General features: G+C 44.5%; 1 protein-coding gene across 2 annotated transcripts in view, besides 2 other annotated features; it reads right to left on the bottom strand.

Annotated features, from left to right (window-relative positions):
- NT5E (5'-nucleotidase ecto) overlaps nucleotides 1–16301 on the bottom strand; it is a 45702-nt gene extending 29401 nt beyond the window's left edge. For both annotated transcript variants that reach the window (NM_002526.4, NM_001204813.2), the window contains exon 1: nucleotides 15906–16301. In NM_002526.4, coding sequence (NP_002517.1) covers nucleotides 15906–16244 — 339 coding nt within the window. In that variant the 5' untranslated portion in view covers nucleotides 16245–16301. The remainder of the gene's footprint in view (nucleotides 1–15905) is intronic.
- Nucleotides 551–640: an enhancer, noted in NCBI's record as "active region_24787". NCBI's record gives its function as "activates an Ori minimal core promoter by ATAC-STARR-seq in GM12878 lymphoblastoid cells {active_cell/tissue: GM12878}" and the evidence as "EXISTENCE:reporter gene assay evidence [ECO:0000049][PMID:35858748]".
- Nucleotides 16239–16508: a silencer, noted in NCBI's record as "silent region_17366". NCBI's record gives its function as "represses an Ori minimal core promoter by ATAC-STARR-seq in GM12878 lymphoblastoid cells {active_cell/tissue: GM12878}" and the evidence as "EXISTENCE:reporter gene assay evidence [ECO:0000049][PMID:35858748]".

Here is an 18048-nt window from a genome sequence, read left to right as displayed (position 1 = left end):
TCCATGGTGAAATGATTAGGTGACCTTCAGCGGGTTCTGTACCTGCTCCCAGCGCAGGGCTTCAGGAGGAGCAGGGATGGTGACAAGCAATCCTTGTTTCCCACCTTCTTATCTCTCTCCCATTCCTCACTGGTTGAGGAGTGGCTGCTGGGTACAAAACCACCCATTGTCTGTCATTTTGCAGCTCCCCGTAGTGAGTTGGGGGCTGGGGGGGAGTGGAGGGAATCCATGCAGAGGCCCCACTGACAAAGCATGACATGTCAGCTGGCTTCCCAGAAAACCTTCCTCTCCTTCCTCCATTGGCCTCCTGGATACACCCATCTCCTTGGGCCCCCTACCCTACCTGCTCTGGCTGCCAAGGCTGGTTTGCTAACTTAGTACTTAAACCAGCAAATCTCAGACTTGCTAAATACCACATCCAGTTTCGTTTCACTTTGTGGGTCATCTAGGAACAGGCATGAAGTACTGGCTGGTGACCCGTCCATTTAAATGAGGGCCTGTGCACTCTCTTACAGCCTCACCCTCTTCCTTCCTTGCTCATTCCATACTCTGTAATGGCATGTTAGCAGGATCTTTCTTTTATATCAGTCTCCTGACTATATGAGTGCTCCTGGGCCACCAGGCCCTGCCACCTCTCCTGCTCAGTGCTGTCCCCCTCCTTGGCACGCAGGCATTCACTGAGTACCTGTGCCTGCAAGGGTTGTGTATACATCCTCATGTGAATGTGTTTGTGCAGAGAAAGCACAATGTGTTTATATTCCTACATACTTGTCTCCCCTATTAAATTCAGAATTTCTAAATTTGCCTTTTCCCCCATCTCTGATGATCTCATTTTTACCTCTTCCTGTTATCTAATTAACTTTCCTCTTAAAAGCTGATCTGGTCTTACAGGTTGTTGCAGGCTTGGGTAATTGTTATTTTTTCCTTCTATTCTTAGAATGTTATGATTTTTTTCCTATGGTGAAATAAGTCTCCCTTGTTATAGTACAATCACTTTCTTGCTTAACTATAAAATTATTTTGTTTTTAATGAATGTTTCTACAGTTCTTCAAGAAAGACTATCCAACTTGTTAGCCACCTTGCAGTTTAACAGCAACATTATATTCCTAGCACTTGGCAATAACTGAAGTTATAGTTTTCATTTATTTGTTTGATGCCTTCTCCACCTCCCCATCCTAACTTGAGCCTAATCCTCCTGAAAGTAGTGACTTTGACTGTCTTTTCACCTCTCTTGCCCCATGGGGAGAGGAGCCCCTTATTCATGGTGCTCAATGTGGTGGGATGGACTGAGTAAATGATCTCATTCCTACTCATACCTTCAACTGTAAACCGAAAATCTCCAGCCCTGACTTTTCTCCTGACGTCTAGATCTGTATGTCAACTGCCATGTGTCATTTCCTCCCAATGTCTCAAAAGTGTCCCAAGCTTACCAGGCTCAAAGCCTCTTCCCTGTGACTCACTGTCTTGGCCCAGGATGCCACCATATACCCAGTCAATAAAGCCAGAAGCCCTGGTGCGGTGGAGTCCCACCCTCTTCCCTCTCCCTCACCATCACGTCCTCTGGCATCCCTCTCCCTTACCTAAATGCTCCAGTTTCCATCCACCTATTGTTGCTGCCTTAGTGTGCTCCTGGACTACCACAGCCTCCTAACTGGGTTTCCAGCTATTCTCATTTCTTTTGCTAAACTATTCTTTATATTGCTGCCAGAAAAACTTTTCTCAAATGCAAACCTGACCTTGGCACTCTCTGCCTTAGGTCTCTACAGAAGCACAGCCTTTATGATAGAAGTAAACACCCTAAGCAGGGTCCAGGGGGCTCTTAGGGATCTGGTTTTGCCTTCCCCTCCAGCCTCATTCCTGACACCCACCCCATAAAGTGTGAGGAAACAAGGCAGGGGTAGCTCCCTCCCAGGCTCCGTCCGCTCCTCAGCAGTGACCCAGGGCACATCTCAGAACCGCAGTTTCCTCTGGAATGGCAGTGAATGAATAAAATAAAAGCAGTTAAGGAAATGAGCCAGTATTGAGTCAGCACTTGCCACATGCCAGCGTCATGGAAAGTGAGTTAGTAAAGAGTACAGAAAATCTGATTTCATGCTGTGAGGGTGGTACTCTTACTGCACTCATTTTACTGATGAGAAAATCTGAGATCTAGAGAAGTTAAATGAACTGTTGAAGATCACACAATTTGTAAGGGGGAGCTGGGACTAGAACCACTTCGGTTTGATTCCAAAGTTCTTAACCTCTGTGCTTGGCTGTATATTTGCATAAAGCCTAGCATACACAAAGCACTAAAAAAAAAAAAAAAAAAAAAAAAAATTCCTAACTACTTGCACAGCAAATGTATCCCTTGCACTACCACAGTGCAAGTAGTTAGTACTACCATGGCAGGGATTCACTGTTGAATGAATAAATGAATGAATGAAAGAATTACTAACAAGTTTCTTTCTTCTATACATAGCTAACTTTTCCACAGAAATTAATGCAGACAAATTCCTTTGTAAATACTTATTTTCTTTAGAAACTTGTATTTTCATTTGACTTCCTTCTACCAGTTTTTCTTCTATTGCACTTACGAGAACTCAGTGATTCCTAAGCTCTTCAGGATCATGCTACTCACCTCAGTACACCAAGTTCCCACCACACCGAGGCATACTGCAGGCACTCAAAAAATCTTGTAAATGCATTGATCTAGTTTATTCGTTTCTATTATTTTTGATTAATAACATGAAAACATCTCAGGAAAAGACTGCCCAAGAGAAGAACATAGAGCAGAGAAATACAGGGGATCATAACAGAGCAGATAATCTTATTCCACCTTTTTTGGTCCTCTCTGAAAGTTCCCATGTAACTTTCCTTATGTGTTCCTGTACATTTTTTGTAGCTAAACTGTTACTTGCCACTTATTGTTTAACCATCAGTTTAGGTATGTGATTTCTATGACCCTAAATCAGATCTTTTTTTTATTTGTATAAATGTATGGGGTACCTAAATCATGTTCTGATGCTCTTTCTCTCTTGTTCTGTTGCTTTCCAAACATTTCATTACTAAGATTGAGCTCATTCATTCACGAACCCTATTCCTTCACTAATTCTATCCCTATGACATCTTGTATATGTTTACTAAAAACACTAAACTTCACCAAATGCACTTTTCTGTAATTTAAGAGAGCAAAGCCCAGCAAAATGATCTTCAGTATCTCCAACAGCAAAATCATAGAAATACAATGTGAGCATCTGGTCCACCCCCAGCTCCTCACCCCCACCACTTTCTTTATGTAGGAGAAAACCTAAAACACTATTTTTAAAAAAAGAATTGATGATCTTATATGAAAGAAACTTTCCACACTCACACAGAACAATTAACAAACTCTCAAAAAAATTGTTTCATTCACAAACAAGTGCCAGTAAGGTATTAGTAGAAATATAAAGGTAACTTGTAAATTAAAACACAGAAATGAAAACAAGAAAACCTGGGCAATTGTCCAGAGAGGGCTACTGGAGTGCCAGGCTGTGAATTGTGAAGCTGCTGGCTAAGCTTTTCACCTGTTTCCAAGCAACTTGGTTTCTCACTTTACAACGAAGACATTGCTTAACTACTTTTTACCAAGTTTGTTTCAAATCCTGACTTCTGAAAAGTTTTAATGGTTCACGCACCAAATCATACCAAAATGGAGCCCATTTAAAAGCAGCAGGTGGAGTGAGTAGTTTTATTAATCATTCAGTAATCATCTGCTGGGCACTGGTGCCAGAGCTCACCTGGTGTCACAGAGAACATAGGGTCAATCTGATGTGTGAACAGACAGACACAGTGGACAGATGGTTAGAGACATGTGTGCAAGGTACAGCTGATACACCAGAGACAGACGTCTGCAGTAGAGGTGTTATGGAGAGACCTCAAAGATGTCACACCTTGAACTGTGTCATAAGCAGCTCATGGCATCCAGGTGATTTGGTGCTCCTGGAACTGAGGGCACCTGAAAATCTGGCAGAAAAAAAAATGATGCTGCTAAGAGCATCGCTGGGAGATCAGGGAGGGTCTGTATGGTGTCCAAGGAGTCAGGGCTTTCATTTTGAGGGAAGTGGGAAGCCTTGAAGAGAAAGTAGGGCTGGAGGCAGTCCGGGGGTGCTTGGAAAGCTCAGTCTGGCAGCCTGCAGTGAATGGATGGGAGTTGTGTGAGCCTGGTGGTGAAGAGACTGGCAGGAAGACACCTCTCCCTCAGGGGAGAGGTGACACAGCAAGTGGGGCTGTGGGAATGTGGTGGGGAGGTGACACTGAGGGGACAGTGCAGGAGTGGAAGCCACAGGAATATTCAGCTGGCTGGGCATGAGGGCACGGGCAGGAGAGAGGATGGGGCTTCTGGTGTTTCACTGCTCCTCCGTGCATTTCCAACAGGAACCATATGCATCCTCACAAGTACCTCACTCACAGCGTCACTGGAGCTAAGCGCCCTTCTCTGCTGGTGGTTGGCCTGGCAGGATAGGGAGGAGTGGGGAGCTAAGGGGAGATTGGGGGCAGAAGGAGCAGTTACCCCCAGTCTCTCTAGACAACTCCACAAAGTGTCTCTTGAAACAGAAGAGAGAGGGGTGCCAGGCCTCTACCCCTCCTGTCCCCTCCCATCTCCCAATGTCTTAACTCACTTTGCCTGGTTTCAAGCTGGGGCAGGACGGAAATGGGTGTGGGAGTTGGGGTGTCATCTCAACCTTTGGAAAAAGCCTAACTAACTGTTAACTCTTGGAATAAAAACTCTGCTGCAGGTTGAGGCAAACTAACCAACAATGCTGTACCAGTGGCTCGTCAGAGCTGGGCCATGGTGATCTCCTCACAGCTTTATATATCTGGAGACACCCATTTCCCAGTTAAGAAAGCAGCCTCTGTCTCAGGTGCAACCTAACTGCCTCTTGGCCTGTGAGGCATTTTTAGCCTTCAGGGCTTTGTGGCTCGCTTGCTTTTTGTGGTTCAATTTCCTGCTAAAGTTATCACTGTGGCTGTTGTGTTCATTTGTCAGAGGCTTTCAAAACAGAAGTCTTTACTATTTTGGTACTCCAGGCCAGAAAGACTGTGTTTTGTAACCTTTTTTCCATTACAACACACATAGAAAGTGATGAGACTTGGACAGAATTCAAGGTCACATGGATGGGGCTGCCAGGGGCAATGGGATAAGGGGCTGAAGGACCAAAAACTCCAGCCTCAGGATTTAACTCTGTCTCTTTCTCCCTCCCTCCAATTATTTATTTGTTCATTCATTCAGTAAATATTTACCAAAGATTTCTCCTGTGTTAGATACATTTTAAGTGGTTATAGGGATCAACTAATGCATATTATTTAATTATTTAATAACAGGGAGAGGGACTGCTTTGATCAATCAATTCTAACTGGGGAGATCAGGAAGTGGGAGATTTCTCTATAAAAATAAAATGTTCCAGAATAGTAAGAGGCCTTAATGGAAGACCGCAGGATATCCACTGACCTCTGTGTTTCCTCCTGCAGACAATGCAGGCCAACGTCCTGCAGGCCAGGGTCAAGTCTGAGGCCTCCATCCTGGTTCCTGTGTTAACCACCATCTCTGACCTGCTCTCACACCACGTGTTTTCATTCCTCTTGCTCTCACCCCAGGAGTGTTCTCATGATTTCTTTCATTCACCCATTTTCTCAATACCAACGGCAGCATTCATTTACAGGTGAAAAGAGTAAATGGAGAAGTGGCAGCTCTTCCTTGGAAGAGCTTTGGGAAAAAAAAACATAGAAGTTGGCACATGGCCTCAGGACAGTGTGGTCATGCAGCAGAGTTTCAGTGTGACTGCTAAATTCAGTTGCAGATTCCATCCACATTGTGTGTGGGTAAAATGTGATAAAGAGAAAAGTCAGAAGGATTCTTCCCTCTTTATCTAAAAGTATTACCTCTACCATTTGTTACTTGCTAAAGATATATTTTATTGTTGTGAAAAAACCAATAAATAGATTCCATGCTTATTATTATATTAGTACAGGATGGAAAATAATTTTATCTTGAGCGCCATCTCTAGTTGATTGACAGTAACTCCTTGCAGTATGGGGATAAGGAGGGTTCTGAGGCTCAGTCCAAACACAGTGGGAAAGGCTGACTAAATCAATTGACTTCTCTCTTCTTAGGGACAAGTTTTTCTTAGCATCTGCCATGGACAGGGTAAGGGCTAGGGGAGGGTCACATAATGATATCATGCATTTGTTTGCATTTCAACTTGGGTGAGTACCCGTTTAATTTAGTTTCTAAGAGATGATAATTGAATGTTATTTTGAATTCTTTTTAGCATATGAATAGAGATATTATTACTTCATAATTACCTGAAGTAATTTCCAAATAAGGTCATTGTATATTCCCAAAGGGAAGGTAGTTTTTGGCCTGTATAGAGAATTCATGTGAATTACAAGCCAAACTTTATACACAAGCTTTCTCTCATGCCTAACTAATTGCAAGGTATTTTTAATAATCAAAACAAGAAACTTGGATTCAGAATATCTTCATTCTTTGATCGTTGATTCATATGACCTTCTGGGTCTTATTCTTAGTGAACAGGGTTTACCCAAAGCCACTGGACTTTTATAAGCTATCCACATCAAATGTAAATATTGACAAATACCCCCAGAAGGTGTTAAAAATACCAGACTGTATCCCACAGGGTTCATTTAACAATAACAACAGGATTTTGAGTCACAGAAGAATAAAATCTCCTTTGGTTCTTCACATTTTCATTTGGTTTTGGCTTTAAACATCAGGCAAAATTCCAGGTATTTGGGTTTCAAAAATACTGGGCTGGGCTAGGCTAGGAAATGGAAACTAGAGGGATGAGGCAGTAAAAATGTTCCAAGTGATGACAAGAGGCTGAAACATGTCAGAAGGGAAACAAAGAAATGTTAGACGGTAAAACAAAGGATAGCAGAGTTTCTTTAAAAGCAGTGTAGGATGCATGATGCAGAAGAAAAGAATTTTTTTGTTCCACATAAATAAATTTTAATAATGTCAAAAAGCCATTTGTCAGAGGTTTGCAGCACATTTATTTAGCTAGTCACTTACACGCTAGCTCATTCGTTAAGGGCTGAGGTTGCAGGAAGCCCTATAATTGAAGAGCTAAAGAGACAGCCTAGGCTGGGCATGGTGGCTCATGCCTGTAATCCCAGCATTTTGGGAGGCAAGAAGGGATGATTGCTTGAGCCCAGGAGTTTGAGACCAGCCTAGGCAACATTGGGAGACTCTCTCTCTCTCTGTCTCTCTTTTTTAAAGAGAGACAGCCTGATTTACTATATGACGGGGCTCAGTTGCCAATCACTCAACATCATCCAGGGAGGATTACAAATTACATTTGTTTTGGTTGATAGGTTTCTGGCATTGTTGCCCACTTCTGATGTTGGGTTGGCTTCCATCCCTGCAGTCCTGGGCCAAGGAATGTTGGCCACAGCAGGTGAATGTGGCATCACACTGAATAGCAGGAAACACCCTGGGGTTCAACCCAGCTGCAACTGGGTTTGGTTGTTGAAAGAATGTATGAATGAGCAAGTACCAAATAGACAGCATTCTACTTGTTTGGGGAGGGGGGACGTACAAACTCTCCATACGTGCAAAATAGGCACATCAACATTCAGAATTAACTGCCCAACTAATTGAGGTCCAGGAAGGTTCAACTATATCTCTGAGGGGCTAGAGGGCTCCAGCTAATATTTGGATTATATATAGAACTAATTATTCAAGTGAGGGAAAAGAAGTGTCAAAAGAATGTTCAAATTCCGATTATGTGGCTGAGGAAAATAAACACTGGAGAGTACAGAGCATTCAGATGTATTTGTGAGTGATGTGCAGAAAGCCGCCAATATGATGTTGATTTGTTTGGTTCTCTCCAATTTTCAGTTAAGAAAACAACAGATGCTATTAATAGTACGAGGACAAGATGAGCTGAGAAACTACCTTTACTTCCTCCCTCCCCTGCCTGAAGCTGGTCATCCAGCACCTCTCTGCTCTGGAATTTAGACTGAAAAAGAGGAAGCAGAGGCCTGAGGCCACAGCCCCAGGATGGGAGTGGTGCTGTTCCTGTCTCTGAGGTTGGGGATCCACAACCCCCTAGACATTCACAACTTCTGACACCTGAGCTTTAGGAATAATTACTTTTTTGGTTGTTGTTGCCTTTTTAAAAGTGTCATTGCAAACAGAATCTCTCTTTCAAGCTTCCCAAACTAGTATTGCTAATTTTTCTTTCCTCAAGAAAGGCTTCATGACTGAAGATAAAGTAATTGTGACAGTTTCCTTTAACATAAGAGTCCTTGTAAGCACTTGTCTCTCTTCTTAGGGACAAGTTTTTATGGGAGAAGAAACATGCTTACTGCTGATTTCGGCTTAGATGCTAAATATGAGGGTCTGATGTGTCTTCTTCTACAGACCAGATCTTTAGCTCAAGAATCCCCATGCATGGGTGTTAGAATTTCAGTCACTTTTGCTTTGCTGTTTAACCTCTCTCCTTTATAGATCTTACCCAGTCCCTCTGTGTAGTTAAGAGGAACTCGAATGGCCATTATCCACTCTGCTATCTTCTGAAGAGTAATTTTCACCCTAGCAGGTCCTGATCGCTATCCTCAGCACTTAGCAGAGAGCCTGGCATGTAGTAATGCTGAATGAAGATTTGCAGATTGAATGAATAAATGAGCCCCAAAGACTCAGGCTCAAAACTGGGCTCATACTCTTCCCATTCCCCAGGCCATCATTTCTGTTACTACCAGAGTAACATCCCGCGAGCATCCTGGAAACCTCTTCACCTGCAAACAGTGGCCAAATGGAAGCACCTGAAAGACCTACGCTATCTCTCCACAAGGAAATAGCTGCCAAAAAATAAATAAATAACTGTGAAGGAGAAATTAGAGAGTTGTCATGCAAACTTAGACTTGTCCAGAGACAAACCAAGTGATGTAGGCAGATTAGAAGCAAGAGAGAGGGGTGGGGAGGAGCTGAGGTGCTGAGAAGTAACATGCAGTAGACCACCCTCTCCAATTCCCCCATTTTATAGATAAGGAAACCACTGCCAAATTCACACAGCTAGTAAGTGGAAGAGCCAAGAAGTAAAATCTGGGTGTTCTGACGTCCCATCCAAATCTCTTTCCACTGCTCCTGTCTGCCACAGCCCTGTACAGTCCAATGGTGCCCAGTAAGTCCAGGAAAAGTCTTCAGACTGCATTTCAGGGCTTGAGGTAGCAGGCCTCAGCTGTCAGCGGTAAGCGGAAGTAGAAGAATCCAGCCTCTGTGTGGAAGCATTAAAACCTGCTGACTCTCCCATTGCCTGGTGCTTGAACCCTCATAATCATCTTTTGATTACACCCTCTCCTGAGCCACCCCTGCAAAGAGAAGGCAAGTACAGCCGGCACTTACTAGGGGCTGGCCCTGTGCTAAGCACATTATGTGCACTACTATCTCTTGTAAACCCCACAGCACCCTAGGGGTGGAGACAACAATCACATACCTCACACATGTGGAAATGGAGGTTTCATGAGATTAAATAACCTGCTCCCAGTCCACAGATTCTAAGTGGTAGGAAGGGGACTTGATCCCAGTCTCACCCCCACGTTTACTCCCTTAGCCCTATACCTACCAGACAGAATGCCTTTTGCAGCTGGTTCCCGTGGATTTGGTCTCCTCAATTACCAGAGTTCAGGTGTTATCATCTCACACTTGGACTGCTGCCTGGCCTCTTTCCTCACCCTCTTCTCTCTTGTCTTCTCCCTCCCACCCTTTTCTGCTCATCTTCCAAAACCGTGATTTCCCTATGTAGCTGGGAGGGTTTTTCCTCACATCAACCAATTCCCCAATTCTGTGTGGACACCAACTTGGTGTCCAACAATTCAGATGCATTCTGACATTCTCTACCTGGACTTAGCATCAGATCCCACAAGTGAGAAGGCTCAAATGCACAAGACTGCCCCCACTTCAGACACCAGTCGAGAGTCCTGGGCCACCTGTATTCCCAACCAACTAGTTATAAATTGGAGGTTCCCATGACCCTATCCTTGGGATTGATAATTGGCTAGAACGAGTCACAGAACTTGGAAAGCACTTTACTGGCTTATTATAAAGCATACGACTAGGGAACAAGCAAGTGAAGAGATGCACAGGGCAAGGCATGGGAGTGGATGGGCAAAGCTTCCATGCCCACTCCATGTGCACCACCTTCCCAGCACCTCAATATGTTCACCAACTTGGAAGCTCTCTGAATCTGGTTGTTTAGGGGTCTTCATGAAGGTTTATCGTGAAGGCATGATTGATTAATTCACTGGCTGTTGGAGACCGAACTCAATCTGTAGCCCATCTACCCTCTAGAAGTGGGAGAGGTAGGGCTGAAAGTTCTAACCCTCTAGTCATAAATTAGTCTTTCTGGCGACCAGCCCCCTTCCCGAAGCTATCTAAGGGCCCCCAGCCATAGATCATCTCATTAGCATACAAAAGCACAAACACACACATACACACAAACTGCTTTTTCTACTGTCACACTGAACACAGAATACTTCTGTGACCAGATGTGTGTGGGATTTCCCCCAGACACCAAACAGTACTCCAGAAAACACAAACTGAGTGTCCTATAATTGAATTCAATTCTGATACTATCTCAAGACATTGTCAGATCCCATAGGTTAAGGGCTCAATCCTACAAGACTGCCCTGACTTCAGGCTGATCACAAGCCTGAGGTTGTGCTTCTGGCTGAATGGCTATAAATCAGGGGTTTCCATTACTTCCTCCTTGGCTTCAATTAACTTGCTAGGACAGCTTACAGAACTCACTCATTGGTTTATTATAAAGGCTATACAAAGGATATAGATGAACAGCCAAGTGAAGAATGGATAGGCCAAGATATGGGGGCAATGCGGAGCTTTCATGCCCTACCTGGGTGTGCACCCTCCAGGAACCTCCAAATGCTCAGCAACTAAAAAGCTCCTCACATCTTGTTCAAGAGTTTTTGTAGAGCTGAATCTCCAGTCCCACCCTCCTTTCCTGGACTTTGGTGGGTGGTACCGAAAGTTCCAACTCTTTGATCCCCTAATCTCTTGGACTTGCTGGTGACTGGTTCCATCTTGAAGCTATCTAGGGATCTCACCCTAAGTCTGCAGGAGCATAAACCCAGGTATTATCATGGGGTTTATTATGAATCACAAAGGACATTTCTATTACTTAGGAAATTTCTAGGGTTTTAGGAACTCTGTGACAGGTACTGGGGACAAGGACCAAATATTTATTTTTTATTATACCACAGTGGTCTTCTACGCAGAAACCACATGGCTGCCCATGGCAACATAACTCAAACTTCTCAGGTGGCCTTTAGAGTTTACACAACCTCTTCTGCCATGATTCCTGCTACCTCACTCTGGTCCAACCTGGTCCATTGTGTAGATTCCTGCCTCTACACCTTTGCCCCATCCTCCTGTCCCTTCACTGAATCAAAACATTTCACTGTAGGGCTCCAGTTGTTCAAATATGTATGGGACCTCAGAGGTAAGCTGGTTCAAACTTCTATTTTATAGATGAGGAACTGGTGATGCTGAGAAGTGAATTGCATAGCCACAGATTGTAGATTTATCTCTTAAAAGGCAGAGAGAACCGTGGTGATCTCTGAATTTCCAGTGAGGAGTGTTAAAGGTGATAAGCTTTAAATTAGCAAACTATTAGGCAAACTTTCAAAAGCACAAGCCACAAGGAAAAAAAGATTAATTCAATTACAAGAAATGAAGAATTTCTGTTCAATGAAAGATACCATGGACAAAATTAATAGACCTAATATCATCATAATATATTTGCAATGTCTAAAATTGATCACAGATCAAAACCTATAACTCCTGAAAGTCAAAAAATATAAAGCTAACCCAATTTAAAAAATACCAAAGAATATGAATAAGCAATTAGAGAAGAGGAAGCTTAAAAAGTTAACAAACATATCAAAAAATGTCCAAACTCACTAGTTATTAGAAAAGTACATGATAAAGCAGCAATGTGTATTTTACACCTACAATAAAGCTGGATACTGCCATGATATATAGGTAAAATATAGAAATTTACATGTCCTGTTTGGGGATGGGAGTAGGTGGAAGAGAATGGAGGATGTCAGTCATTGAGGAAACCAGTCTTGTAGTACTCAAAGTATGCCCTGTGGCCAGCAATTCTGCTCCTGGGTAGAAATCATCTGGTGAGACCATCCAGGAAGATATCTGGAGCAGCATTATTTGTGGAGGCAGGGTGTTAGACGCCATCTCCAAACCCATCAGCCAGGGAGCAGATGGGTAAAATACGTGGAGATGGGTAAAATACACAGAGCACAATTCACAGTGATGTATAGGTATAAGGGCATCTAGGGCAACATGGACAAATCATAAAAACAATAAGTTCAGGACAAAAGTAAGAAACAGAAAGGGCTAAATAACAGGACTGGGTATGCCATTATAAAATATAAGCACACAAAGGTTTTGAAAGTGCATGTAGAAACAAAACTATATGCAGTCCATCAAACACATTAGAATGTTGTCTATGTGGGAGGTGGAGGGTGGCGAACAAAGGACCATCTATCTGACTAACCTGTCCCCTGGGTGAGTTAAAGGCGGGGGCCATGGTTCCCACCCTGGCTGCTGCCTCCCCCATTTAGGAGCAATTGGCTAGGGCTAAGGCTGCAGCCTTATGGGCAGGAAGTGGGCTCAGCAGCCAGGGCCTCAGAAGCAGCAGCCAAGCAGAGAAAAGGCACCTTTCTAGGGGACCCTAGAGACCTGCTCAAAGCTACCTTCCCCACAGCCTGTCTTGGTGAGAATCTCACCTCTGGAGGTGGATACCTTCAGTTTTGTGCTGTGGGGAGATTTCATAAGTCTGCTCAATGAGTAACTATAGCAAAAATAGTTTAGGCAATGGTACTTAGGTAAGATGGTAGAGGGCAGGCAGGTGGTAGACTGTGCCAGGCTGTGAGAATCAGATAATCTGATGCACAACCCAAACCTTCCCTTCCTCACAATTCCCCTCCTCCCCACCCAGGGCACATGAAACTCACTTTCAGTGAGCACCAGCAGGGATTATCTCATGTATTCCTCACAAAACCTCTGCAAGATGGGGGTTATCACTCCTGTTTTACAGCTAAGGAACATGAAGCTCAGAGAAAGTAACCAGGCCAAGCGCATACTGTCAGTGCTTCCATGCTGTCTTCCTCGTGCCTCAGGGGACAACAGTCCTTCCACTGAGACAGCTACACTAACTGGAGAGTTTTGCCATCCTCTTCCCAGTTTTCTGCCTAGTAGTGGTTCCAGGGGGTCTCCAGGATTGCCCTGGGTCCTCTACAGCAATCAGGATTACTCCAGTAGGTCTAGAAAGTGTACACCTCCTTGGAAGTTCCTGCTCGAGGGGACTCCTGTGTTTTAGCTGGATTCTAGGAAATTCCTCTTTGTCCTCCATATGCTTCAGTCCTTTTATGTGGCTCCTTTGAACTAGGTCCAGTCTCCAGGAAACTGGAGATGCCCCTCCACAACTGTTTTCCACCCTGATTTGAATCCCCAGTGTCCTAGGAATCAATATGCGGTGAGTGGTTACAGTGGAGGAACGTTTATACCACAACAGCAATAAATTCTCTGAGGGTTAGTATAATATAAACAATTGACAGTGAAACATCTGTGCAATACTGGAGTACAGCAGAGCTTTAGCACATGCTTTAGCACTACAGAACTGGGATTTTATGCACGTCAAATCATGTTTGACACACCCCCAAACTGCACAGAGTAAGTCCTGAGGACACAGCCATCTAACCTTGCCATGTGATCCGCTCCCAATCTTTACCCCCTGCCAACATTACGTAAGTAGCCTATTTTTCCTCAGAACCCAATTCAATTTTCTTGAGCAAAATTTGAAAGAAAGTAATTTCATCCAACAAAAAGGATTCTGAACAAACACAGAAGAGATAGGCTGTAACTTACAGCAGTTTACTCAGGCCTCACCTAGATGTCCTGTCATAAACATTTGATACCATGATTAACACCAGGAGCTCAACTAGACTTACAAGAGGGAAATATTATTAGGGAAAACTAGGAATTCTTCATTCTTATTTTTCCACTAAAAAGGGTTCACACAATTGTGGAGAAAAGAGTGTCACAAAAAGTAAAGTTTACAAAGTCGTGGTTTATATGCAAAATAAAACAAACACATGTAAGTTTATTCTACCCTTCTGGGAGGAAGTGGAGACACAGGGTAGCAACAACTCAATTCTACAAATATTTATTTTGTCATTACTGAGTGCAAAGTATCAGGGAAGTGTAGCTGTGGAATACCAATGCTTAAGAGACCACAGAGTTCTTGAAACCCACGATTCTTCTTCAAATCCAGATGTGTGTGAGCCCCACCTCATCAACTCTGAAGGCTGAAGGATCAGCTGGAATTTCTGCTGCAGGGTGTCCCTGATAAGCTCAAAAGCATCAGAACGGAGGGAGCTTTCTCCCCTTCTCTCATCTCATTAAAATGAGCTTTCTTGTTGTGGGGGGTTGGGGAGGGACCTTTAAAACCAAACAATGGTGCCCTCTTATCATCTTTTCCTGTCCTCCTTTCTCCAAGTTTCCAGAGGGGAAAATAAAACCAAACAAACCCCTCAGCATTGTGCTCTCCTGACCTCTAAGCTCTTCTCATATAAAGTGTACTGTTAGCCTTCTGTATCCCAGCCTAATCACACTTCCCTTTCCCTTCCACACTTGTGGACTTCACAGATTTCTCTGGACGTTTCTCTGGAGATTTCTCAGTTCTTCCTCTTCCAAAGCTCTTTTTTCTTCTCCCAAGTTTCTCCACAGTCTTGCTGAATCCCTTTACTCAAGGCTTTTACACAGGGTTAAATTTGGGTGGTGGTTTTATTTTTTTTTTAACCACCATATATACATCTTGGTTGTACTTATTTATTACTGTGCAACCACCTCTGCTCCCTTTCTAGAATTTAGTGCAATAGAAAAGGCATTACCTTTAACCTAACATTTGGGACTTTGAACTAAACTTTTGCACATGTTTTAAGAGCCCATTATCTCTTAAGTTGGACTCTTCCTAAATCTCTGCCGCCAAACCTACTTTATTGAAATCCTTTGAAACCCAAGTCTTTCCACATTTTGGCTCTCTCTGAAGTTTCTTTCTTTCTTTCTCTTTCTTTCTTTCTTTCCTTTTCTTAACCCTATATTATAGTGTCTGGTAATAACAACATATATAGACACCACACTATGTGTCTGGTAATAATATAGAGACCACACTATGTGCACTATGTACAATTATAATCCTTATTTTTATACAGGATAGAACTGAGGCAAGAAAGAGTAAATAACTTGCTCAAGGTCACATAGAAGGTAATTGAACAGAGAATCTACCCCAAAGCTGTGAGCTTAATTACTCTCAAGCTCCGGGGTCAAAGAGATCTGGTGTCCATTCTTATCACGTCTCCCTTTTTGCGGGGATGGTGCCTGTTAATTTATTCAGCTTCTTCGACGCGGTTTCCCTTTCAATAAGATTGAGATAAAGCATTTTTCGAAAGATCTAGATTGAGATAAAGCATTCTTTGAAAGATCTAGCAGTAAATGAGAGCTGCGTGAGGGATCCGATTCAGTCCCTAGCTCTGGATAACTGTCAGTGCTTCTACGCACCCCACCTTAAGCCCCTCGCAGGCAGGACTGGGTCCTGCTCCTCTAAATACTCCCATCTCATAGTGGGGGCGCAATAACGTCCGTTTAAGACGAATCGTCCAAGGGACTTCTATGCATCCAGCTGGCACACTGGCCGGAGTCTCACTTTATCCCCACATCTCTCCGCGCCCTGGACCTAGGCTTGCCACACTCTGCCATCCGCTGCTTTTCCAGCCCGGCTCCTCTCTCAGTCCGGGACTACTATCCCGGGCGCGGGCTCGGGTCTTACCATGGCATCGTAGCGCAGGGCGTTCATGAAGTGCGCCACCTCGGCGCCCTTGTACACGGTGAACCAGATAGTGCCCTGGTACTGGTCGCCGGCGTCCAGCAGCAGCACGTTGGGTTCGGCGCGGCGGATCTGCTGAACCTTGGTGAAGAGCCGAGCCACGCCACCCATGCAGCGGCTGGCGTTGACGCACTTGCTGGAGTCCTCGCTGGTCTGCTCCAGCCGGCTGTGCACGTCGTTGGTGTGCAAAATCGTAAGCTCCCAGGCGCCAGCCGCAGGCCACAGCACCGCGCCCAGGGCGAGGAGTAGCGTCGCGGGCGCCCGCGCGGCTCGGGGACACATAGCTGTGGCGCGTGAACTGGGTGCGAAAGCGGGCGAGCCGGGCGAGTGCCGGCGAGTAGGGGCGAGCAGCTAGGGCCGGGGCTCGGTGCCCCGGCTGGAGGGGCGGGGCCCGGGTCAAGGCCGGGGCGGGTCCTTCTTCAGCCTGGAGGCCGGCTTGGCGGCCAGGCGCAAGTTCGCGACGTCACCCGATCCGACCCTGGTACCCGGAGCGGCCCTGGCGCGGCTGTCGGCTGGCACCAGCTCCCTGCAGGAAGAGTGGAGAGGTTGTTCCCGGCGGGGAGCGGGTACCGGCCGCATCCCGGCCGGACCAGGGAGCCTGGGCGCCGGCAGTTCGGCTGCTGGTGCGCCGCTCTTTCGGGGGCGCGAGGAAGGAATTGGAGGGGTCCGCCCCGCGCCTGGGTCCTCTCTGAGTCTCGCCTCATTCGAGGCACGGGTTTTTCTACAAAAGGAATGTATGGTTTGTGGTTGCGCTAGCTCATCACTTCAAAGAACCAAAGAAGGAAAAGAGAGGGGGCGGGAAGAAAGATGAGCGAGCTGAGGGGCAGAGAGGAGGAGTAAAGAGAGGCCGGGCAGAGGAGCTCCTTGCAGTTTCGGGCTGTGAGAGCCGAAGCTCACTGAGATGTGACGCTTCCTGTTGGGTTGAGAACGCACGAAGTCTACGATGCTTAGACAAAAAAATCTCAGAAACTAAGAAATCATTCGAATCCAGTTCCTTGTTTATTCACAATTAAAACCTTAGTGATAAAACAGAGGCGACGCGCGGACAGCTCCTGGAAGCAGAAACACGATTGGGGTAAAATCCGGCAGCTATCAGGACGGGAAGGGATGCTGCCCTTCTTTGCTTTTCTGGTCTTATTTTATTTTATTTTATTTTTATTTTGTCGCGTGTGCTTTCGGTGTCGCAGTGAAGTCATAGCCAAATACAATGTTAGGAAGATTTTCCTCTATGTTTTCTCCTAAGAGTTTTATAATTTAAACTCTTAGACCTTTAATCCATTTTGAGTTAATTTTCATATGTGGTATGAGTCCACATTTACTCTTTTTCATGTGGATATCCAGTTTTCTTAGTACCATTTGTTGAAAAGACATTCTGTGCCCGTTTTTAAGACATTGACCTGAGGTTCGGAGATTGTAAATCATTTGCCAAGAAAGGCCATGCAGTTTGGGAGCAGCAGTGCCTGGGGCTACAGAAGACCCTTGCTTCTGGGACACCCTCTAATGTCATGCTTTGCAAGGTTTTGCTCTGTCCCTCTTTGAGCACCTGCTAGAAGCAGGTAAAAGAACTGGTAGTTTTGCTGTTTTAACTTAAAAAAAGAATGATTTTAGACTTACAGAAAAGTTGCAAAGGTAATAAAGGGAGTTCCCACATACCCATCACCCATATTGCCTTATGTTAACAGCTTATATAACCAATGAAACTAAAAACTTAACAGTGATACGAAACTATTAACTGTGTTACTGATTTTATTTTAATTTCACCAACTGTTCCACTAATGTCCGTTTTCTATTCCAGGACCCAATTCAGGATACCATATTGCAGTTAGTTTTCCTGTGTTCTTAGCCTCCTCTAATCTGTGACAGTTTCTCAGTCAGTTGTCTTCAAAAACCTTGACACTTTTGAACAGTACTGGTTTCTGTATACTATCCCTCAGTTTGGGTTTGTCTGATGTTTTCTCATGATTGGACTGAAGCTGTGGATGTTTAGGAAGAATGCTACAGAGATTATGTGCCTTTCTCATTGCCTGGTATCTGTGGGTACACGGTATCAACATGACCTATCACTGATCACTGGGGAACTGATCAT

This window comes from Homo sapiens, chromosome 6 (genome assembly GCF_000001405.40).
Source record: "Homo sapiens chromosome 6, GRCh38.p14 Primary Assembly".
Taxonomy (NCBI): Eukaryota; Metazoa; Chordata; class Mammalia; order Primates; family Hominidae; genus Homo; species Homo sapiens.
Note: the sequence above shows the minus strand (reverse complement) of the source record. Positions and strands in the feature narration are given on the sequence as shown.